Source organism: Homo sapiens, chromosome 12, assembly GCF_000001405.40.
Source record: "Homo sapiens chromosome 12, GRCh38.p14 Primary Assembly".
Taxonomy (NCBI): Eukaryota; Metazoa; Chordata; class Mammalia; order Primates; family Hominidae; genus Homo; species Homo sapiens.
In genome coordinates this window covers 101,465,141-101,489,003 of record NC_000012.12, presented here as the reverse complement: position 1 = coordinate 101,489,003, position 23,863 = coordinate 101,465,141, and the positions used below count along the sequence as shown (strand labels likewise).

Genomic DNA, 23,863 nt, shown 5'->3' with positions numbered 1-23,863 from the left:
TGAGAGATTATATCTTATTGTGGTTTTAATTTGCATTTCTCTAATGATTACAAGAAGAAAGAAAGAAAGAGAGAGAGAGAAAGAAAGAAAAGAAAGAAAGAAAACATAGGGGAAACATATAAGACATTGGTGTGGGTAGTGATATTTTGGATTTGATCCCGAAAGCATGGACAACAAAATTAAATATAGACAAATGGTATCACATCAAACTAAAAAGCTTCTTAGTTCATGACGTGTAGCTAAAACAAACAAACTAAAAAGCTTCTGCACAGCAAAGGAAATAATCACCAGAGTAAAGAGACAGCCTATGGAATGGGAGAAAACATTTGCAAGCCAGACATCTGACAAGGGTTTAATATCCAATACATATAAGGAACTCAAACAACTCAATAGCAACAAAACAAACAAACAAAAAAGCAATTAAGACCTGCTTTCTGCTGACAAAGTCTTCTTCCTTACCCCTCCCTAATAAGAAGGAAGAAAAAAGGCAATTAAAAAAATGGGTAACTCCTCCTTAGTACAGTGGTAAAACTTAAACATTAAAAAAGTTTTGGGGCCAGCTCGGTGGCTCACACCTGTAATCCTAGCACTTCTGAAGGCCAAGGTGGGCAGATCACCTGAGCCCAGGAGTTAGAGACCAGCCTGGGCAACATGGCAAAACAGTCTCTACAAAAAAAAAAAAAAAAAATTAGCTGGGCTTCATCCATGTTTGTGTCACTGCACCTGAGCATAGGTGACAGAGTGAGACCCTGTCTCAAAAAAAAAAAAAAAAAAAAAGCTTTAAGTTGTAAAAATGGGTAAGATCAAAAGAGAAGGAAATAAAAAAATGTGTAAGGAAGCTGAACAGACATTTCTAGTGATGTTTTTAAAGCTATGAACCCATTTTGGCACAAAGGCTTTATCATATGCAGTCATTTACAAAATTTTTTTGTAAAGCCATCATATAAAAGTGTGAATTTTCTCACCTGAGTACATGACAAGAAAATGCTGAAATCAATATATAAATCAAATCATCTGTACTGGCACTGTTAATCTAGAAGAAGGTGGTTGCATAGAGAATAGCAAGAATTTAAACCAGCTTATTGAAGTGTGAAAAGAAAAAAAGAGAGAGCTTCAGAGGTAGGCTTTGCCTCTTAAAAAAATTAAAAATAGCCGGGCGCGGTGACTCACGCCTGTAATCCCAGCACTTTGGGAGGCCGAGGCGGGCGGATCATGAGGTCAGGAGATCGAGACCATCCTGGTTAACACAGTGAAACCCCGTCTCTACTAAAAATACAAAAAAATCAGCCGGGCGTGGTGGCGGGCACCTGTACTCCCAGCTACTCGGGAGGCTGAGGCAGGAGAATGGCATGAACCCAGGAGGCGGAGCTTGCACTGAGCCGAGATTGCGCCACAGCACTCCAGCCTGGGCGACAGAGCGAGACTCCGTCTCAAAAAAAAAAAAAAAAAAAAAAATTAAAAATATAAGTCACTGTCAGTGTTGTGCTTGGGAGTTAGCAGCCAAAAACAAACAAACAAACAAAAAAAGAAGTCATCGTCTGTGAAAAGAAAAGAAAAAAAGAAAAAAGAAAAAGACTTTGCATCCATTGAAGTATGCAGCAAAAGAAAACAATTTTTAAAATAAAATAAAATGGGTATAGTTGGGAGCTTAGCAATGGTCATACAGAATGGAGTAATGGACACTGGAGGCTCTGAAAGGTGGGAGGATGCCAGGGGGATGAGGGATGAAATCCTACCTATTGGGTACAGTGTTCACTATTCTGGTGATGAGGATGCATATTTCACCACTATGCAATATATCAAAGCAACAAAACTGCACTTGTACTCCTAAATCCATAAAAATAAAAAATTATCTTGGCTGAGACATCTTTAAAAAATAATAAAATAAAAAAATAAAAATTTTAATAGAGAGAGAACAGTAAGAGCAGAGCAAGGACCTTAGTCTATACTTTCAAATGGGCTTGATCATTTGAAACAATAAAGTTGTTCATTGAATCTTCACAAAGTATTATAAAAAAGTTGTTCATTGGCAGAATTTCCCAACAAGTTAGTATAGATTACATACTCTTTGATAAAAGCAACAATAAAGTTAATTTTTTTTCCTCTTTAGTATTTGCTTTAAGAGAAAAATCCTAAATTTCTTCAGAGGAGGAAAAAAAGAGAGGGAGGGAGAAATCATTAAAACTTGTAGAGATTTCCGATGCCAGTAAACCATGAAATATGAAAGTATATTTAGCAATCATGGTGATTTAGCTCATGGTAATTGGCATATGTATAATTATAATTTGCATTCCAGTTATTTAAACTGAGATATTCTTGATCAGGTTGAACACACTGTGAATAGAAGATCTCTTTCCCCAGGAAATAGGATGGAGAGAGTCTTTGGAGAATGGCCTCACTGAACTGGTAAGTCAGCTTCCTCCGGATTTTGGTAATTTCCCCACTTCTTCCGTAATTTCTGAGTGCCCTGGCCATTTTCTGGTAAGTCATGGTCTTCCTGTTGCCTTTTCTTTTCCCCCAAAGCTCGGCAAGTTTTTCTTTGTTTTTTGATACAAACTGAAAGATGCCTTTGGTTTTATCTACCCACTGAATACAAGATGCCATCTCCGGATTATACAGGGATTCGTGAAGGTATTCAAACAGTCGGAGCTTCTTCCTGCCTAAAATGAAGGGAAACAAGGTCAAACTCCACCGTGGCTGTAAACCGAGAACATCCTCAGAAAGGGTTTGTTGAGCAACTACTGAATTAAAAGCTGCATCGAGACTGGTTTTTCTCCCACTCACTGCCCTTACGAATGCATGATGGCATCATTTTATGGGATTCGAAGGTAGAGGATCTATTTGGCCTATTGAAGTTTCAACTGGATCTTTCTTTGTTGGAGAAGTTGTTAAGAATGTTGCCTGGCCGGGCGTGATGGCTCACGCCTGTAGTCCCAGCACTTTGGGAGGCCGAGGAGGGCGGATCACTTGAGGTCAGGAGTTCACCAGCCTGGCCAATATGGTGAAATCCCGTCTCTACTAAAAATACAAAAATTAGCCAGGCAGGGTGGCACGCGCCTGTAATCCCAGCTACTCGGGAGGCTGAGGCAGTCCCCTGAGGATTCTCCCTCGAACCCAGGAGAATCATTTGAGGTGGAGGCTGCAGTGAGCCGAGATCGCGCCACTGCACTCCAGCCTGGGCAACAGAGCGAGAATCTGTCTCAAAAAACAAAACAAAACAAACTTTCCACAGAACAACATTGAGCAAAATGGACCACAAGTTTAGCAGTTTCGAAGAGAAGCCTCAAAAAGCCATTTCCAGAAAACAAGTCATTTTAAGGGGCTTTATTCAAATGAGTTAAGGGATGTAAATGCACTTTGTAAAATGCAAAATAGAATGCAAATGTAAGGTAATATTAAGGAAATTAATACCGAAGACCTAGGTAAAAGTGCTAACTCTGGGTTTGCACAATTACTTGAAAAATAAAAAAGGAGAAAAACTCATATGGAAATGCCAAAAATGTTTTTATATCACTTTAACATTATTCATTTAACAATGCAATGGGCACTGTGATATTTCTCATTGTTGTGGAATAAATAGTGCCACTAGAATCTTAGGAACACAGCCATTTATATTTCAAAATAACTAGGCAGGAAATTTTGAGAGAATCTGTGTGGGTTTTGTTCAGTTGATAGGATTTCTTTTGCATAACAGCTCATGAGAACAAAAGTGACAGCCCATTTTGTGACTTCTGAGTTAGTCTGTAAATACTGTGCTCTGCCAGATCTGTCAGTAGCTAAAAAATTTGCAGCCAAATTCCATTTTCCCTTGAGGAGGTATACTAGTGGATTCCCAAACTGCTTTAAACAGTCTCTGGGGAATAATACTCTTGCATGATGCATTTATCACTCATCCAAAGACCTCAAACATTTTTACAAAGATTATCTTTTGTATTATATTATCTTGAGTTTATGAATTGAGAAATGAAAGGGACTTACCAAAAAACACATCATGAATTAAAGTCACAGCTTAAACAAAACTCCTCTGTCTCTCATTCAGTGATCAAATTGGTCTTAATGGATCATCATCTTTTAAAGTTTTCCGTATTTTTTTATGTTTAAATTTTATTTTATTTTATTTTATTTATTAATTTTTGGAGATGGAGTCTCGCTCTGTCGCCCAGGCTGGAGTGTAGTGGCGCAATCTTGGCTCACTGCAACCTCTGCCTCCCGGGTTCAAGCGATTCTCCTGCCTCAGCCTCCTGACCTCGAGTGATCTGCCTGCCTCAGTCTCCCGAAGTGCTGGGATTACAGGCATGAGCCACCATGCCTGGCCTATAATTTTTTTTTAACCATGCCTGGCCTATAATTATTTTTTAAAGTGAATCAGGTAGCCTCCTTGAACCAGAATAGGTTCGGAGAGACTCCCTCAACTATATATTTATCTATCTATTTATTTTCTTTATTTTATTTATTATTATTATTTTTTGAGTTGGAGTCTCACTCTGTCACCCAGGCTGGAGTGCAGTGGCTTGATCTTGGCTCACTGCAACCTCCACCTCCTGGACTCAAGTGATCCTCCCACCTCAGCCTCCCCAGTAGCTGGGATTACAGGCACCCACCACCATGCCCGGCTAAATTTTTTTTATTTTTTGTAGAGACGGAGCTTCACCATGTTGGCCAGGTTCGTCTCGAACTCCTGACCCCAGGTGATCCGTCTACCTTGGCCTCCCAAAGTGCTAGGATTACAGGCATGAGCCACCATGCCCAGAATTTACTTAAGATATATTATTTACTGGAAAAAGTGCAAGAGTACAATCCCATGTGTAATTTCAAAGGATATGCATATACTTGTATATGTGAAAATTTTTTTAAAAAAAGCTTTCTAGAAATATGTAAAATACACTGGAACTTTTACTTTCACTTTGTACTTTGGTTTGAGTCTTTTACCATGAGTATATAATACTTCTATTTTGAAAAATAAAAAGAGCTAGACTCTGTTTCAAAAAAATTAAAAAATAAATAAATGAATAAATAAAAATAAAAATAAATAAATAAAATGTATTGGTGAGGGAGTCTCTCTGAACCTATTTTGGTTCGGGGGGGCTGCCTGAATCACATTTAAAAAAATTATATGGCCAGGCATGGTAGCTCACACCTGTAATCCCAGCACTTTGGAAGACTGGATCACCTGAGGCCAGGGTTTCGAGACCAGCCTGGCCAACATGACAAAACCCCGTCTCTACTAAAAATACAAAAAACGGGCCAGGCGTGGTGGTGAGTGCCTGTAATCCCAGCTACTCAGGAGGCTGAGGCAGGAGAATTGCTTGAGTCGGGGAGGCAGAAGCTGCAGTGAGCTGAGATGATGCCACTGCATCCTAACCTGGGCAACAATTAAAAAAAAGAAAAAAAAGATGATAGTGGAGCTGAAAAATTCCTATCACCTAGTATCTACTGTATATATGTTTTATCATTATTTTAGATTGTACTCCTTCTACTTAATTTTCTTTTAAATTTAACTGTAAAACAATCAATAAATAATAAAATAAAAATTAAAAAATAGAAAGCTAACTGTGAATCAGCCTCAGGCAGGTTCTTCAACAGGTATTCCAGAAGGCGCTGTTATCATAGGAGATGACAGCTCTATGTGTTATTGTCCCTGAAGACCTTCCAGTGGGACAAGATGTGGAGGTGGAAGACAGTGATAGTGACGATCCTGTCACTGTTACTCCTAGGCTAATGTGTGTGTTTGTGTCTCTGTTTTTAACAACATAAGCTCAAAAAGTAAAAAATAAAAATAAAAAAATTTAAAAATAGGAGGCTGGGTGTGGTGGCTCACACCTGTAATCCCAGCACTTTGGATGGCTTGAGTCCAGGAGTTTCAGACCCAGCCTGGACAACAGAGTGAGACTCTGTCTCAGAAAAAAAAAAAAAAAAACACAGGAAGTCTCACCCAAGATGAATGGCTTGGACTGTTTCAAGAAGTCAGAGTTAAATTACTCTCAAATGTGATAAAAGAATATTTTGCAAATTCAATTCCAAACTCAGTTATAAAATCCCTTTAAAGCAGCTATGAGGAAGATCTGGTTCTTTTACCTGTATAACGAATGATGGATCAACGTACCTTTTCCCCCCTTTTGCTGGAGAAGAGTGGGTTGTACCAGCTGGTTTTCAGTTATGTTCTGCAGAGATTGATGAATATTTCCTTCAAAATAGAAGTCCGCAGCACTGTTCTATATAAATAATGAAGCAGGATGTTAAGTGAGACTTTCCCTGTTGCCCCCTATTATAGGCTGAAGTCAAAAGTTAGGGGAAAAAGAGGCTAAGCGTCTCCCAGATTGCAAAAGGAATTACCCCCAACTGCAGCCAGATAGCTCCCAGGGCAGCACTAGCATCAAACCCACATAAGGAGAGGACCAGGGGACAGAGGGTAATCCTTGGCTTTGTGAGGAGTGTCATGTCCTACCCTCCCTACAAGAAAGAAGGGATTGCTTAAAGTCTGTGGTACCATCAGAAAGGGAAGATGGGCTTCCATTCCTGTGTTGGATGCCCATGTAGGCAAGGGGAGATAAGAAAAGAAAGATGTCAGTAGGCAGCTGGGAAGATAAAATAAAATAAGTAATGAAAACAATAAAAATTTTACAAGACAAGAAAGGGCCGAGCACGGTGGCTCATGCCTGTAATCTCAACAGTTTGGGAAGCCAAGGCAGGGGAATCACTTGAGCCCAGGAGTTCAAGACCAGCCTGGGCAACTTAGAGAGACCCCACCTCTACAATTTTTTTTTTTTTTTTGAGACAGAGTTTCACTCTTGTTGCCTAGGCTGGAGTGCAATGGCGCGATCTTGGCTCAACGCAACCTCCGCCTCCCAGTTTCAAGCGATTCTCCTGCCTCAGCCTCCCTAGTAGCTGGGCGTGCCACCATGCCCGGCTAATTTTGTATTTTTAGTAGAGATGGGGTTTCTCCATGTTGGCCAGGCTGGTCTTGAACTCCCGACCTCAGGCGATCCACCTGCCTCGGCCTCCCAAAGTGCTGGGATTACAGGCATGAGACACCGTGCCTGGCCTTTTTGTACGCCAGGCATGGTGGCTCATGCCTGTAATCCCAGCACTTTGGGAGGCCGAGGCGGGCGGATCGCCTGAAGTCAAGAGTTCGAGACCAGCCTGGCCAACGTGGTGAAACCCCGTCTCTACTAAAAGTACAAAAAAATTGGCTGGGTGCACAGTGGCTCACACTTGTAATTCCAACACTTTGGGAGGCCGAGGTGGGTGGATCACCTGAGGTCAGGTGTTTGAGATCAGCCTGGCCAACATGGTAAAACCCTGTCTCTACTAAAAATACAAAAATTAGCTGGGCATGGTGGCAGGCGCCTGTGATCCCAGCTAGCTACTAGGGAGGCTGAGGCAGGAGAATCGCTTGAACCTGGGAGGCGGAGGATGCAGTGAGCCGAGATCACACTATTGCACTCCAGCCTGGGTGACAACAGTGAAACTCTATCTCAAAAAAAAAAAAAAAATTAGCTGTGGGTGGTGGTGGGCACCTGTAATCCCACCTACTTGGGAGGCCGAGGCAGGAGAATCGCTTGAACCCAGGAGGCAGAGGTTGCAGTGAGCCGAGATGGTGCCATTGCACTACGGCCTGGGCAACAGAACAAAAAAATTTATATTTAAAAATTACCCAGGCCTGGTGGCACATGTCTATAGTCCCAGCTACTTGGGAAGCTGAGGCAGGAGGATCCCTTGACCCCAGGAATTTGAAGCTTCAGTGAGCTATAATCGCACCACTGCACTCCAACCTAGGTGAGAGAAAAATACCCTGTCTTAAAAAAAAAAGATGACAGCCAAGGGAAGGCAGAATAAAGAAAGGGGACAGGAAGAAGCAGCCCAAGCTTCTACCATTTACATATGGCAAGAAGAATATGTGGGTTTCCAAGGGTTAAACACCGGAAGGGGCTGGGCTTGAGCTGTCTTTCCACACCCCAATCAAGAAGGCTGACCAGCAGGCAAGGAGTCCCCAGGGATAAGAGGCTGTGAGGCACATGCTAGAAAATGGGAGCTGAAGTAGAAAGAAGAAGGGTTGCCAGATTTAGCAAACAAAATATTGGGCATCTTGCATTTTACCTGGCAACCCTAAGTGGAGGTGGAAGAGGTTAAGCTGGAACCAAAGCACCCTCTATTTAAAATTTTTATTTACAAAATTTTTTTTTGAGACAGGGTCTTGCTCTGTTGCCCAGGTTGGTCTCGAACTCTTGGGCTCAAGTGATCCTTCCTCCTCAGCCTCCCAAAACTTTGGGATTACAGGCGTGAGCCACTGAGCCCAGCCCAAAGCACTCTCTTAAAATAAAATGTCTTGTGAAGAGGCCCCAAGGGAACAATTTATAGAAACAGAAAAAGGACATTTGACATGGTGTGATTGAAGGTAGTGACTGAAGAAAAATAAAAACCAATTCACATTTATACCTCATCCCATGAAGACCGCTTGATAAAATGGATGCATGAAGAAGACAACTAAAAGAATACATGAATGGGGAGATGGCAGGGTGTTTCCCTTTGCAGATGCTGCTATTAATAAAATATCAATGAATTGGTCCAATACATGCAGATAACACTGAGTTTGAGAAGGAAAACAGAGCAGTCTAATACAAGACTGTAGGTAAAACCAGTGCAGGGGCAGTTTGGATCTTTGCCCTGTGGCTTTTAGGGGAAACTTTTTGCAATTTCCCAGATGGACTAAGGAGAAGCAACTGATATTAACATCCTGAAAACACCTCCTTTTTACGAAGTCATCCAAACCAGTCTGAGGCTAAGTAGAGAGCAATGATGAAGGGTTATTTCCTTCCTAACAGCATGTGATCATCCATGTTGACTGTCAAGTTCAGACTACAGCTGATGGCCCTTAAAAAGCATTTTCAGGTAGAGCACAGTGGCTCACGCCTGTAATCCTTCCCTTTGGGAGGCTGAGGCTGGTGGATCACCTGAAGTCAGGAGTTTGAGACCAGCCTGGCCAATATGTGGAAATCCTGTCTCCACTAAAAATACAGAAGTTAACTGGGCATTGTGGTGCACGCCTGTAACCCCAGCTACTTGGGAGGCTGAGGCAGGAGAATCACTTGAACCTGGGAGGCAGAGGTTGCAGTGAGCTGAGATTGAGCTACTGAACCCCAGCCTGGGTGACAGAGCCAGACTCCATCTCAAAAAAAAAAAAAAAAGAAAGAAAAAACCATTTTCATAGTCAATGCTGTCTTTAAGCTGGGTTTCAGACAGTGTATGTGAAATGGAAGGCTGGCAAGAATAGGATATTTGCCTGTTATTAAGGGATGGTCTGATACTTACAATTACCGTTCTCCAATTATAGACAGGCTCCTCTGTAGGCAACACTCCATAGCAGCTGGAATTTCCTTTGACATGAGGACGATGGTTGATTAAAGCCAGGTAATTTCTGTAATCTAATTTTAAATCAGAGAAAGAAACTAAAAAAGTCAAAGTTTGTATTTGTGCATATAAATATGTGTGTATATATATGCACTTATAGATGCAATTGCTCTCATCTATGTTTTCTTGCCACTTTGCACTTCTCCTGTGGTGTTTATCTCATTATGCTGCTATTATGGATACTGTTATACATATCCCATTTGGAGAACATGCTCCTTGCAGGCTGAAACCGCATGATTTCTTTCTTTCTTTCTTTCTTTCTTTCTTTCTTTCTTTCTTTCTTTCTTTTTTCTTTCTTTCTTTCTTTCTTTTTCTTTCTTTCTTTCTTTCTTTCCTTCCTTCTTTCTTTCTTTTTCTTTCTTTCTTTCTTTCCTTCTTTCTTTCTTTCTTTCTTTCTTTCTTTCTTTCTTTCTTTCTTTCTTTTTCTTTCTTTCTTTCTTTTCTTTCTTTTTTTTTTTTAAGACAGGGTCTTGCTCTGTTACCCAGGCTGGAGTGCGGCCACGTTATTTCGGTTCACTGCAGCCTGTGCCTCCTGGCCTCAAGTGATCCTCCCACCTCAGCCTCCCAAGTAGCTGGGACTCCAGGCACACGCCACCACACTTGGCTAATTTTTGTATTTTTTGTAGAGACAGGGTTTTGCCATGTTGCCCAGGCTGGTCTTGAACTCCTGGGCTCAAGTGATCCACCCACCTTGGCTTCCCAAAGTGCTGGAATCACAGGTGTGAGCCACCATGCCCTGCCCACATGATTTCTCTTATCTTGGAACACCCTGTAATACCCTATATAAACTTAATACATAACATATTTGCATTCTATTTAGACTATATAGTCCATAGGATAATGGGTGAGGAAGGATAAAAATACTTATTCTTCCAAGTAGAATATATCTTGTTGTGTGGGTGGAAGGTCTATAAGATTCATTGGAACAATTTAAAAGCCTTTCGTGAATAGTTAAAATGAACTGTCTATTAGATAAATAAATGTCAACCAGATATTTCTAATAGCAGATAATTATATATCTTTGTATTTCTGTGTGGAATGTCATCCTCTATATTCTCTGCATTTTTATATGTGAGACTTTAGTTTTATTTAGGCTAGATACTCCTGGACATATTTTGCCTTTGCTAGAATTAATCCTGGATGCTTCAGGTAAAAATGATCTCGTTTTTGAGTCCAGGAGTTCCAGACCAGCCTGGGCAACATAGTGAGACCCTGTCTCTACAAAAAAATAAACAAATAAAAATTAAATTAAAGATAAAAAAGGTCACCGGGCACAGTGGCTCATGCCTGTAATCCCAGCGCTTTGGGAGGCCGAGATGGGCGGATCACGAGGTCAGGAGATCGAGAACATCCTGGCTAACACGGTGAAACCCCGTCTCTACTAAAAATACAAAAAATTAGATGGGCATGGTGGCGGGCGCCTGTAGTCCCAGCTACTCGGGAGGCTGAGGCAGGAGAATGGCGTGAACCCGGGAGGAGGAGCTTGCAGTGAGCCGAGATCGCGCCACTGCACGCCAGCCTGGGCGACAGAGTGAGACTTCGTCTCAAAAAAAAAAAAAAAAGAAAAAAGAAAAAAGAAAAAAAAGGTCTTCTCTGTTCTGATCATTATCCTGGAATACAGTGGCGCCATCTCGGCTTACTAAAGCTTCTGCCTCTCAGGTTCAGCAATTCTTAAGCCTCAGCCCCCAGAGTAGCTGGGATTACAGTCGCGCCACCATGCCTAGCTAATTTTTGTATTTTTAGTAGAGACAGGGTTTCGCCATATTGGCCAGGCAGGTCTTGAATTCCTGGTCTTAAGTGATCTGCCCACCTTGGCCTCCCAAAGTGCTGGGATTACAGATGTGAGCCACAGCACCTGGTCAGCTGATCATTATTCTTATATGTGTATGTGACCAACAAGCCATTTGATGTACCAGCAGAAGAGGGTAAATGACTCATCTTTACCTGGCGAGTACTGAAGATCTCCAGTTGAATGTTGCCTCAGAACCTCAAAAGCATCTTCAAATGCTTGACCCAGCTTGTCTTGTTCAACACACGTCTGTTGGAACAATGATAGAATTCTGGAGTTTTCGAATTACCAATTAAACTTAATCTCCCTGATTTAAAATAGTATTTAGTCTAAAGGAGGGTTTCTCAATCTTGACACTATGGGCATTTGGTGTTGGCTGTCTCTGTTGTCAGGGGGGCTGCCTGTGCATTGTACGATGTTTAGCAGCTTCCCTGACCCCTACCCACTGGTTGCCAGTAGTACCTTCACAGTTGTGACCGTCAAAAATGTTTCCGACATCACCAAATGTACCCTGAGGCACAAAATCAATCACAGTTGAAACACACTCCATTATAGTATACTATTTAGAGAATGGTATTCATTCTATAGTACAGTATTTAACATTATTGCAAAATTTTAGCAAGGAGTTGTAGAGCAGAGGAGAGTGATTTAGAAAAAAAGGGCCAAGGAAATATCTTCAATGAAACAGAACCTATGAATTGTTGTTTAAAAATGAAATGCTCTTATGTCTCCAAGACCTAAAATTGAATTGCTTTGCAAACTATTTCATATCCTTATTAACATGATCGATATATTTTATTTTTAAAATGGAGGGAGAGTAAAGAAAAAAGTTTTTTAATTATTATGCTGTAGAGCTCCTCTGTGGACAGAGTAAAGAAAATATTAAAATGTCAGCTTACCATATTTCATTAATAAATTGACAATTCTGTTCCTTAGCAATTGTTGCTTGAAGAAAATAAAATAAAATAAGTTGACAATCCTGAAAAAGTTTAATATTTAAAAAGCAAAATTAAATGCAGTCTCTAATTTGATTCTGAATAAGATCTTGCTCAAAAATATTTTCTGAAAATACCTTACATAAACCAAGAGTACCTCCTGAATTCTCTTTGATGAGTACAAATTTTTTTCTACGAAATTTTCTACAAACATTTCTTTTTGCTTTTCCATGATTACAAAATGCTTTAAATATTAAAATAGCTATATATTTAATTATCTGAGCTGCTTGATTGATAAGAGAAAGTGGAAATAACTCAAAAGTATATATAAGTATTTCAAAATTATTTTAAATATTCTAAAATTCTGAAAATCAAAATCCTTTTTACCTTAGCATAGCTTTATAAAAATAGGGCTTTTTTAAAAAACCTTTCTTTGGTGTTATATTGCCTTCTGAGAATCTGGCAAAAGCCATCCTTTTCCTCCCATGAAAATTGGACTTATATTGCAAATAAAATTTAGCCTGTGAAGACTATCCTTGGACTTGCTTGAATCCTAGGCTAAGAAAACTCGTCTATAATTTTGTTATTTACTTTCTTATCTCTAAGTAATTCTGATTTTGCTTTAGAGAAACAATTATCACACCGACCCACAATTAAATGCTTTTAACTCTACGTTCTATAGACCAACACAGGGAACAAACAAACAAAAACCAACCCACATAATAAAAAGAACTGTGGTGGGTCCAAAATTGCTTATCATTCCATTAAGTAAACCCAGCAGTTCTTTTTATGCAAGTATTTATCTTCTTAGTATTTACCCGCAAACACAATGTGTTTACTCTTTAGTGTTTAACTTTGAATAATAAAATGAGATGATGTAATCTAATGCCAATATTATATATATCCATCATATATCAACATAACATATTAAATATCAAAATTCTGCTTGGCTCTTTGAAATCATTACATCATGTCAGTTAAAAGAAAATAGAAGAAAATCCAGAAATCACTCTTCGGCTCATGGTCTTTAGTGAATATTATCAGTAGCACATATTTTTTAAAAGCCATGTCAGTGATTTTCAATTAACTGCTTTGACTCAAAAGTGCAGAAGCACTGAATGTTGTATTTTGAATTAAATATTTAAAAATGAACATGTTCTCTTTGACTAAAATGCTCCACAAGACTATCGCAGCTATTACAAGTAGCAAATCTAAAAGGAAGAAAAAGCTTGAAAACATTATTGATTACTATGATTGCTTAATATTTCTTGCATCTGAACACGCAGACAGTGAGAAACACTCATTAGGCCAAAGGAAAAAATGAACAGTGATTAGAAGATATTTAGAAAAACATAAGCTGAGAACTTACCGGGAAGACACTTCAACCCTTTATAGAGATGTTTCATTAATATCAGAACGGTAAATTCAACGGTAGGCTATCATGAAAATAAAAAATTATTTTCCAGTGCAATGGCTCTGATGAAAAAAAATAGTAATATTTTTTTTAAAAATTAGAATTGTTAAGACATAACCATCAAGAACATACTGGCAGAGTTGCATTAAATAGCTGTTTTTAAGGAAGTTCTTCAAAAGGGGATTTTTTTTAAAAGATACAGTGCCTTCACAATTTCTATTTCATGATATGATTAGTAGACACCAGGGGCTATTATTTTGAAGAGGCACATAGTAGTTTGCATCCCATCAGCCAAAAAGCAAAAAAGCATTAGAACAAGCCCCATGAATCCCCCGCCCAACTTAGGTTGCAGCTCTTCAGATTGCATAGCCCCACCGGAAACTTCTAACCCAGGCAACTCAGGCCCACCCTTCTTTTTTTAATTCATATTACTTCTCTCCCAATTCTGGACTCTATACTCTCTTTCTTGCCTGGACTGTCAACAGCCTTCACTCTGGACTCTCCAAATCGGTCTTTCCTCCTAAACTACTTTACTTACACTGCCATTCACTGATCGCCTTAGAGAGCTTAAAGGCTTAGGGCCCTTGTCCTGACATTCAAGGCTCTTGAGCCTTAGCCTTATATCTTGCCACTCAGTTGAGTGGGGATAATAGAATCCATGCTCTTGCTTTCCTCCACACCTAAATTCAGTAGCGGCTCCAAAATGGTTAGGAAAACCTTATGGGGGGCCATGTGGTTGGACATACCTGAGGCTGCTGCATTCCTAATGCAGGTCCCGTTCTCTTACTTGGCTTCAAGGTTTATTTGGGGTGGCTCTGTTGGAAATTATGAGACGCTCCCTCCACCTAAAATACTTTCCTCCCAGTTCATCCCCCTGCAGATTCGCCCATTTTATGTTACCTGTCCATCAGTGTCCAAAGCAGCATCCACTTGTACACGGTGGAAATAACCTTCCTGTCCCCTGAAACACATGTCTGCCTCTCACTTGGCTAACCTGAAACCTGCCATTTTAATAGCTGTCACATTTTGGCCAGGGGGAAAACCGCCTAAGAATTTTTTGTAAACCTTGTGGGTGGGGAGAGTGAAGAGGGTCTGTGATTTCAAAGCTGCCAGTAACTTCAGTTTTGCATTGTTGGAGCCTAACCTCACCTTTGATAGGGGACTATTGTTTTGGACCAATTACTTTTTTGAGCCAATTTGTTATGCAAATGTTAACACACAGTCCTTCTTCTGATATGCAGATCTTATAATAACAGGTATAAAACGGTAATCACTAATGTTGATTTGTTTTTAATCTGTACTAGTCTACACCCTTTTCAAGCCACCTTATTTGGTTCATTCGTTCAACATATTACTGAGCTCTTCACTCTTCTGGGCACTGCCCCATGTCCAGGAGCTACAGCCCTGAACAAATCCTTATGAGAAGAAATGATTTTTAAAAAATAAACACATTGGTAAAGTATTAGATAAGAAGTGTCAAAAACAACAATACAAAAGAGAAAGATTATGAAGACAGTGTGCGAATAGCCAGGAAAAATCTCTGAGGAGGAAAGCGGTGTGAGCTGAAACCCAAGAAGAAGACTTAAGAGTGAGCAGGCGGGCAGGGTGTCTGGTGCCTATATCCCCGCTAAGCAGCTACACAGGAGGATGGCTTGAGGCCAGGAGTTTGAGACCAGCCTGGACAGCACAGTGAAACCCCCAAGAAAAATGGAGTGCCTCCCCACCCTGCCTCAGAAAAATGAAGGAGTGAGCAAAACAAAAAGCAGAGATGCAAATATTTGGAGGAGCACCTCCTGGCAGAGGAAGCAGCAGGTGCAAAGAGCCTGGGATGGAAATGAGTTTGGCATTCAAGACACAGAAAAAAAGCGGGAGGAGGAGAGGAGGCTGCAGGAAAATGCACCTGGGGGCTAAGAGGCAAAGTTGGAGAAGAAAGAGGCAGGATCCAGATCAACATACACATCAAGCCCTAAAATAATCACAAGTCATGTATGGCAGTCGTTATCTGTGTACCCCCATGTCACAGATGAGGAATCTAAACTGAAGTTCAAAGATGTTTTGTGATTTTCCCTAAGGTTCAACTTCTAGTGAGGTGGGCTGGGCCAGATCCAAATTTGGGTTAATTCCACTTCATGTGCACGCTCTCAGCCCTGGAGACCTGTGTGTGCAGTTGAGGCTGCCTTCGACCAGGTGCTCAGTCCCAACGGCAAACTCCACAGCACCCAGCCCATGCTTGTCACATATTAATACTACAGGTGTGGTGAGTATTTGAAATGAATGTAAACACAGTGAACTTTTTTTTTTTTTTGAGACAGAGTCTCCCTCAGTCCCCTAGGCTGGAGTGCAATCGCATGATCTTGGCTCACTGCAACTTCCACCTCCTGGGTTCAAGCGATTCTCCTGCCTCAGCCTGCCGAGTAACTGGGATTACAGGCCACCACCACATCCAGCTAATTTTTGTATTTTTAGTAGAGACGGGGTTTCACCATATTGGCCAGGCTGTAATCCCAGCTACTCAGGCTGGTTAATTTTTGTATTTTTAGTAGAGATGGGGTTTCACCATGTTGGCCAGGCTGGTCTTGAACTCCTGACCTCAGGTGATCCACCCGCCTTGGCCTCCCAAAGTGCTGGGATTACAGGCCTGAGCCACTACACCCAGCCTGAACTTTCTTTTTTTTTAATTTTTAATTTTTATTTTTATTTCCAAGATGGAGTCTCTGTCACCCAGGCTGGAGTTCAGTGACGTGATCTCGGCTCACTGCAACCTCTGCCTGCCGGGTTCAAGTGATTCTCCTGCCTCAGCCTCCTGAGTAGCTGGGATTACAGGCCCACGCCATCGCACAGGGTTAATTTTTGCATTTTTAGTAGAGATGGGGTTTCACCATGTTGGCCAGGCTGGTCTCAAACTCGTGACCTCAGGTGATATGCCTGCCTCGGCCTCCCAAATTGCTGGGATTACAGGCATGAACCACCACGCCTGGACTATTTTTTTTTTAATGTAAATAAATTAAAACCCTGATATTTCTAGGTGGGATCTCATCCAAGTACTAAACTGGCCCTACACGCCTTGGTGTCTAAAATCGGAAGAGGTCAGGCCTGTTCAAGGTGTTATGGCCATAAAAAAGTGATTTTTTTTTTTTTTTTTTTTGAGAGTGAGCCTTGCTCTATCGCCCAGGCTGGAGTGCAGTGGCACCATATCAGCTTAATGCAACCTCCACCTCCTGGGTTTAAGCAATTCTCATGCCTCAGCCTCCCAAGTAGCTGTGATTACAGGCGCCTGCCACCATGCCTGGCTAATTTTTCTATTTTTAGTAGAGATGGGGTTTCACCATGTTGGCCAGGCTGATCTCAAACTCCTTACTTAGCTCAAGTGATCTTCCAGCCTCGGCCTCCTAAAGTGCTACGATTACAGGCATGATTCACCGTGACCGGCCAACAAGTAAACTTTCTAAGCTAGCATTTCCCCAACTATTGTCTCTAGAGTTTGATTATGCAGGATATTAATAAATGAACCTGGCAAAAGTGTTGAGTGGAAGCTAGGGTTGCTGCCTAGAACTTCCTTAGTGAAGTCAATGAGTGTGTTGATTTTTTTTTTTTTTTTTTTTTTGAGGTAGGGTCTCACTCTGTCACTCAGGCTGGAGTGCAGTGGTGCAATCATAGCTCACTAAAGCCTCAACCTCTTAGGCTCAAGTGATCCTCCTGCCTCAACCTCCCAAGTAGCTGGGACTGCAGGCAGGCACCACCATGCCGAGCTAATTTTTACATTTTTTGTAGAGATGGGGTCTCACCATGTTGCCCAGGTTGGTCTCGAACTCCTGGGCTTAAGCCATCCTCCTGCCTCGGCCTCCCAAAGTACTGGGAATACAGGTGTGAGACACTGCATACGGCCTGTTGGAGATATATGTATATATATACAACCCTACGTTACAGATGCAAAAACAGAAATGCAGCTTTAGGGTTCTCTGTAGGGCTAAGATGTGAAGTTGTTTTGGCATCTTGAAAAGTTAATGCAATAGACTTTTAGCATTTTAGAAGTCAAAACTCCTATCTCTTGAGAATCTGATGAAAGCTGGCAGTTATTTTCCCAGGAAAATGCCATCAGCACACATTTTCAGGCAAACCCTCCCAGTAGGGCCAGTGAACTCCAATTTGGGAGCCCCTGCAGTATTTATTTAATATATGGACACCAATGTTTCCCTCAACTCCAGAAATGAGCTGAGTAACAAGCTAAGGGCTCTGAAGAGAGGATCCCTGATTGACAGATTCACTTTTGCAGAAGTTCATTGTCCTCAGTGGCAATGGAGATTATTTTAGAAAATCTTAAGCAACACATGTGCTGGCGTACAAATCATATGGTGACACGCTTCAGGTGGAAGACTGTGTTTTCTGAGAATAGGGAACTGCAGAACCCAAAAAGGGAGATCAAGTTCAAGCTCTTATCATTCCTCACAAATTCTTCTTCAATAATTCAGTTGTTGAAGTGACTAAAGAATTTGGTCTTAATCTTGGCAAGATCTTTGGAAACTCCAATAAGCAAATAATAAAGATTGTTAGCAGACTGGGGAGAAGGTGCTAGAAAACTCCTCATGTTTGGCTGGGTGCGGTGGCTCACACCTATAATCTCATTACTTTGGGTGGCTAAAGTGAGAGGATCGCTTGAGGCCAGGAGTTCAAGACCAGCCTGGTCAACATAGTGAGACCCCCATCTCAATTATTTTTTTAAAAAAAGAAAGGAAGCCTGGGCACGCTGGCTCATGCCTGTAATCAATCCCAGCACTTTGGGAGGCCAAGGCGGGAGTTCGAGACCAGCCTGACCAACATGGAGAAACCCCGTCTCTACTAAAAATACAAAATTGGTAGGGCGTGGTGGCGGGTGCCTGTAATCCCAGCTACTCAGGAGGCTGAGGCAGGAGAATTGCTTGAACCCAGGAGGTGGAGGTTGCGGTGAGCCTAGATCACGCCATTGCACTCCAGCCTGGGCTACAAGAGCGAGACTCCGTTTCAAAAAACAAAAACAAAAAGCAAAACAAAGAGCGAAACTCCATCTCAAAAAAAAAAAGGAAAAAGAAAAACAATTCCTCACATTTGAGTAGGAGGAGTCATAGAACCAGAGATTATGAGACAAATAGTTAACCCTCACCCTCATTTTAATAATAATTACTTGCAATAGATATTCTATGAAATTTACTGAGACTTGTTTCGTGGCCCAACATGGAGTCCATTTTGACTGAATTTGCACTTGGAAGAATGTATACTTTGCAGCTATAAAATGCAGTGGCTGATAAATATCAATTATATCTAGTTGGCTGATAATATTGTTCAAATCTTTTATATTTTGAGGGGCTTCTTTTGTCTTCATGGTCTATAAATTAGTGTAAGGGAAATCTCCAATTATAGTTGTGAGTGTGTCTATTTCTCTTCTTTAGTTCTGTCTATTTTTGCTTCACGTATTTTGAAATTTTCTCATTAGCTGCATACTCATAATTAATTGCTATGTGTTCTTGATAAATTGAGTCTTTTGTCATTATAAAATTTCTGTCTTTTTTTTTTCTGGTAATCCTCCCTGTCTTGAAGTCTTCTTTGATATTAACCACCTCAGTTTTCTTCTCCTTAGTGTATATACCATTTATATTTTTACTTGCAACCTGTCCCGCTTGTCTGTGTCTCTCTATTTAAAGTATGTCGCTTTAAGCAGCTTATAGTTGGGGATGGCTTATTAATCTAGTTTGACAATCTCTGCCTTTTTAGTGTTTAGTCCAATGTAGTAACTCCTGATATAGCTCGGTTTAAGTCTACCATTTTGCTATTTGTTTTCTATTGATCCCACTTATTTTCTGTTCCTTTGCTCTTGCTTGCTTACTTTCTTTTGTATTGAATATTTTTATTATTTCACTTTATTTCCTCTATCATCTCATTATAATGTGATTATATATTTTTCTTTGTGTGGGGGGGGTTTTAAATATTTTTAATTTTTGTTTTTATTTTTGTGGAGACAGGAGTCTTGCTATGTTGCCGAGGCTGGTCTCAAACTCCTGGGCTAATCTTCCTGAATCAGCCTCCCAAAGTGTTGGAATTACAGGTATGAGCCACTGCGCCTGGCCTGTTTATATGATACACTTTTGTAGATTTTTTTTTGTGGTTGCTGTGGGGATTACAATATGTATTTTTAATTTATCACAGTCTACTTTGGGTTAATATTATACCACTTTATGTATAATGGAAGAAGGATAATTCCCTTTACGTCACCTCCCATTCTTTGTGCTACTGTTGTCGTCTATTCACATGTGATAACTCCCACATGTTATCACAGTTGACTATTTAAGCCTCACAGTAATGTTGTCAGGTGGTATTATTGTCCCTGAGTTCTATCTGTGACTCTGTATCTGCTAGCTGTGTAAACCTGAACAAATAACTTAATCTCTCAGTTTCTTCTTCTGTAAATTGTGGATAATAATTTTACTTATAAGTAAGGTTAGTGTGTAAATTTATCCCAGGGAATCTATGTAATGTGCTTGGGGCAGTCCTGGTTTTAATACATGCTCAGCCTGGTGTGGTGGCTCATGCCTATAATCCCAGCACTTTGGGAGGCCAAGGTGGGCCGATCACCTGAGGTCAGGAGTTTGAGACCAGCCTGGCCAACATAGTGAAACCCCGTCTCTACTAAAAATACTAAAATTAGCCTGACGTGGTGGCACATGCCTGTAATCCCAGCTACTAGGGAGGCTGAGGCAGGAGAATCAGTTGAGGCGGAGGTTGCAGTGAGCCAAGATTGCGCCATTGCACTATAGCCTGGGTGACAAGAGCAAGACTCCATATCAAAATAAATAAATAAATAAACATTTTAGAAGGCTAGGTCTTTCTTTCTTTCTTTCTTTCTTTCCTTCTTTCTCTTTCTTTCTTTCTCTCTTTTTCTTTCTTTCTTTCTTTCTTTTTTTGAGACAGAGTCTTGCTCTGTCTCCCAGACTGGAGTGTAGTGGCATGATCTTGATTCACTGCAAGCTCCACCTCCCGGGTTCACACCATTCTCCTGCCTCAGCCTCCTGAGTAGCTGCGACTACAGGCGCCCGTCACCATGCCTGGCTAATTTTTTTGTATTTTTAGTAGTGACAGGGTTTCACCCTGTTAGCCAGGATGTTCTCGATCTCCTGACCTCGTGATCCGCCCACCTTAGCCTCCCAAAGTGCTGGGATTACAGGCGTGAGCCACCACGCCCAGCCTTTGCTTTCTTAATTACCCTCATTTTACAGATGAAGAAACAGGCTCAGGGAGGCTAAGTAGCATATTCAAGGTCACGCAGTTAGGAAGAGATAGAGGTGGAGGTTTTCAAACCAGTTCTAACTAGAGGTTTTTAACCATTCTGCCTATCTTTCTTTCCTTATATGGAGTGAGGATCAGAAGAAGAAGAATGTGATAGCAATGGCCTTATGTCCTATGGCTCTTGAGAGCTATTTATTTATTTATTTATTTATTTATTTATTTATTTATTTATTTTTGAGACAGAGTCTTGCTCTGTCACACAGGCCGGAGTGCAGTGGCGTGATCTTGGCTCACTGCAACCTCCGCCTCCCGGGTTCAAGCAATTCTCCTGCCTCAGCCTCCCGAGTAGCTGGGATTACAGGCGTGTGCCACCACGCCAGGCTAATTTTAGTATTTTTAGTAGAGACGAGGTTTCACCATGTTGGCCAGGCTGGTCTTTAACTTCTGACCTCAGGTGATCCGGCCGCCATGGCATCCCAAAGTGCTAGGATTACAGGCGTGAGCCACCGCACCTGGCCTTGAGAGCTTTTATGGTGCTTGAGAACAGGAGTAAACACTCACCATGACAGCTGTTACATCACCAGAAGTGCTCTGCTTTTACCATGTCTGGGACCTGCGGCCTCGCTGGTAAGTGGCAGAACCAGGGCTCAAACCCAGTTCTTCCCTTGCCATGTCTGGTACCTCTTCCTGATCATCAGGTTGCACAACTATTCCCCATAGGCTCTATGTATTGACCATAATTACTTTAATGGCTCCTGCCAGTGTTTATACCAACAGAGGAAACTTCTCTGACACAAGACTAGTAGGGAACAGCATAGCTGCACAGAAAAAGATGAGACTACAGACCCATTCTCATCGTCCCCATTGGGTGCCAGCAAGGTAGTGACTTTTTAAGTCTTGTGTTCTGAACCATGACTGATTGTGAAAGGGCACTTTCTAGTCTTTCTGAAGCAGCTAAACTCTGAGGACCTACTGGTGTATCTTACTGCATTCTAATTCTAGGCACAGAGAGGTGGGCTAAATCACAGCCAAATTCTTTTGTTGTTGTTGTTGTTGTTGTTGTTTTAAAATTAGCCCTGAATCGCAGTGGCTCATGCCTATAATCACAGAACTTTGGGAAGCCGAGGTGGGCAAATCACCTGAGGTCAGGAGTTCGAGAACAGCCTGGCCAACATGGTGAAACCCCGCCACTACTAAAAATACAAAAATTAGCTGGGTATGGTGGTGCATGACTGTAACCCAGCTACTTGGGAGGCTGAGGCAGAAGAATTGCTTGGACCCCGGCAGTGGGGGTTGCAAGTGAGCCAAGATCGCAACACTGCACTCCAGCCTGGGTGACAAAGTGAGATTCCATCTCAAAAAATAATAATAATAAAATAAAATTGCCTTGAAGACTAAAGGCCTCAAAAAATTTGGTTAAGACTCAGAATTGTTTCTCTTCACATAAATCTTTAGGAAAAGGTGAAAAATTGATATAATCTGAAGAGATACCAGAGTATACCAGACTTTTTTTTTTTTTTTTGGACGGAGCCTCTCTCTGTTGCCAGACTGGAGTGCAGTGGCGCAATCTTGGCTCACTGCAACCTCTGCCTCCCGGGTTCAAGCAATTCTCCTGCCTCAGCCTCCCGAGTAGCTGGGACTACAGGCACATGCCACCACGCTCAGCTAATTTTTGTATTTTTACTAGAGACGGGGTTTCACCTTGTTGGCCACGATGGTCTGGATCTCTTGTACTCGTGATCCTCCTGCCTCAGCCTCCCAAAGTGCTAGGACTATAGACATGAGCCACTGCGCCCAGCCTCATTTTTTTTTTTTTTTTTTTTGAGACAGGGTCTCACTCTACCAGGCTGAAGTGCAGTGGTGCAATCATGGCTCACTGCAGCCTCGACCTCCCTGGCTCAAGCGATCCTGCCGTCTCAGCCCCACTAGTAGGTGGGACTGCAGGTGCGCACCACCACGCCCGGCTAATTTGTGTATTTTTTGTAGAGATGGGGTTTCACCATGTTGCCCAGGCTGGTCTACCAAATTCTTTATACATTTTTATCCTAAGCCTGAAGAACACATATGCCTCTGCTTCATCACTTTTGGCCTCAGAAGTTTCTAAACCTAAGCCATTTACCAGCCTGGGAAAGGGAAGAGGAAAATGACTCCTCCCTTCATCTCTTAGTGGGTTTGTAATGCTTATTTTCACTTTCTAGTTTACTAAGAAGACAGACTTGCAATTGATTCTGCTTTAAATTTAGGTCCTTTTGGTAAGGAATTTTTTTTTTTCTAGCAGTTTGTAAGTGGCAATTCTCCCTGTTTTAACAAAATTAATTAGCAGGGCAATAATGTCCTTTTTACAGGGAAGAGGCATCCTGTTCTTACAGAAGTTAGCTGGTTAACTGGGAGTAGAGAAGAAGGGTTGGGGAGTCCTGTAAACTCAAAGAAGTTTAGGAAACAGGCACATTAATGGGATCCCAAGTTTCAGCTACGTGCTTATAACTGGCTATAAGTTTCTGGTTCCAGTTGTCATCAGTGAGAATTCACTGCTGGTAGGAGTCTAAATTGGGACAACCATTTAAGAAAATAGTCATTAGCAAAGCTTAGTTCACAAATCCTTTTCAGGCATATATATAAGAGAAATTCTTGTATACAAGCATCAGGACATATGTGGAAAGAAGATGGTTTTAGCAGCCATGTTTATAAGGGGAAAGAACTACAAACTATATATCTTTCTATAGATATGTAAGTATAGATAGATAAACATATATAGGTCTGATAGATATATACTCACATACATAGTGACAAGAGAATGAGTGAATTGTGGTATGTTCACATAATAGAATATAGAAATGTGAAAATGAATAAACTATAACTAAGTGCAATTACTTGGAAGAATCTTGAACACATAATATTCAGTGAAAAAGGAAAACCTAGAAAACCACTTAAAATATGATTTCTATAGAGTTCAAAAATAAACAACTACACAATATATTATTTGTCTACATCTATCTATCATCTATCTATCTATCTATCTATCTATCTATCTATCTATCTATCTATCATCATCAATCGTGTGTG

At 41.1% G+C, this 23,863-nt stretch overlaps 1 protein-coding gene and 2 pseudogenes across 2 annotated transcripts, besides 1 other annotated feature; all 3 read right to left on the bottom strand.

Annotated features, from left to right (window-relative positions):
• Positions 1 to 2,006: 2,006 nt before the first annotated feature.
• On the bottom strand, positions 2,007 to 13,668 carry SPIC (Spi-C transcription factor). 2 transcript variants are annotated; one of them, NM_152323.3, is made up of 6 exons: positions 13,502 to 13,668; positions 12,097 to 12,176; positions 11,353 to 11,446; positions 9,310 to 9,422; positions 6,104 to 6,212; positions 2,007 to 2,660 (listed from the first exon to the last, which is right to left on the bottom strand). In NM_152323.3, the coding sequence occupies exons 2-6, from the start codon at positions 12,097 to 12,099 to the stop codon at positions 2,233 to 2,235; spliced, it is 747 nt and encodes a 248-aa protein (NP_689536.1). In that variant the 5' UTR covers positions 12,100 to 12,176; positions 13,502 to 13,668; the 3' UTR covers positions 2,007 to 2,232. The 2 variants fall into 2 exon arrangements, with proteins under 2 accessions (NP_689536.1, XP_006719302.1); XM_006719239.4 differs by having other exon boundaries at positions 12,097 to 12,142.
• Positions 14,328 to 15,023: an enhancer, noted in NCBI's record as "NANOG-H3K27ac hESC enhancer chr12:101867759-101868454 (GRCh37/hg19 assembly coordinates)". NCBI's record gives its function as "activates a minimal SCP1, AML or CMV promoter by ChIP-STARR-seq in naive H9 embryonic stem cells {active_cell/tissue: H9 hESC(naive)}" and the evidence as "EXISTENCE:reporter gene assay evidence [ECO:0000049][PMID:30033119]".
• RNA5SP367 (RNA, 5S ribosomal pseudogene 367) lies at positions 16,548 to 16,665 on the bottom strand (annotated as a pseudogene).
• RNU5E-5P (RNA, U5E small nuclear 5, pseudogene) lies at positions 22,084 to 22,399 on the bottom strand (annotated as a pseudogene).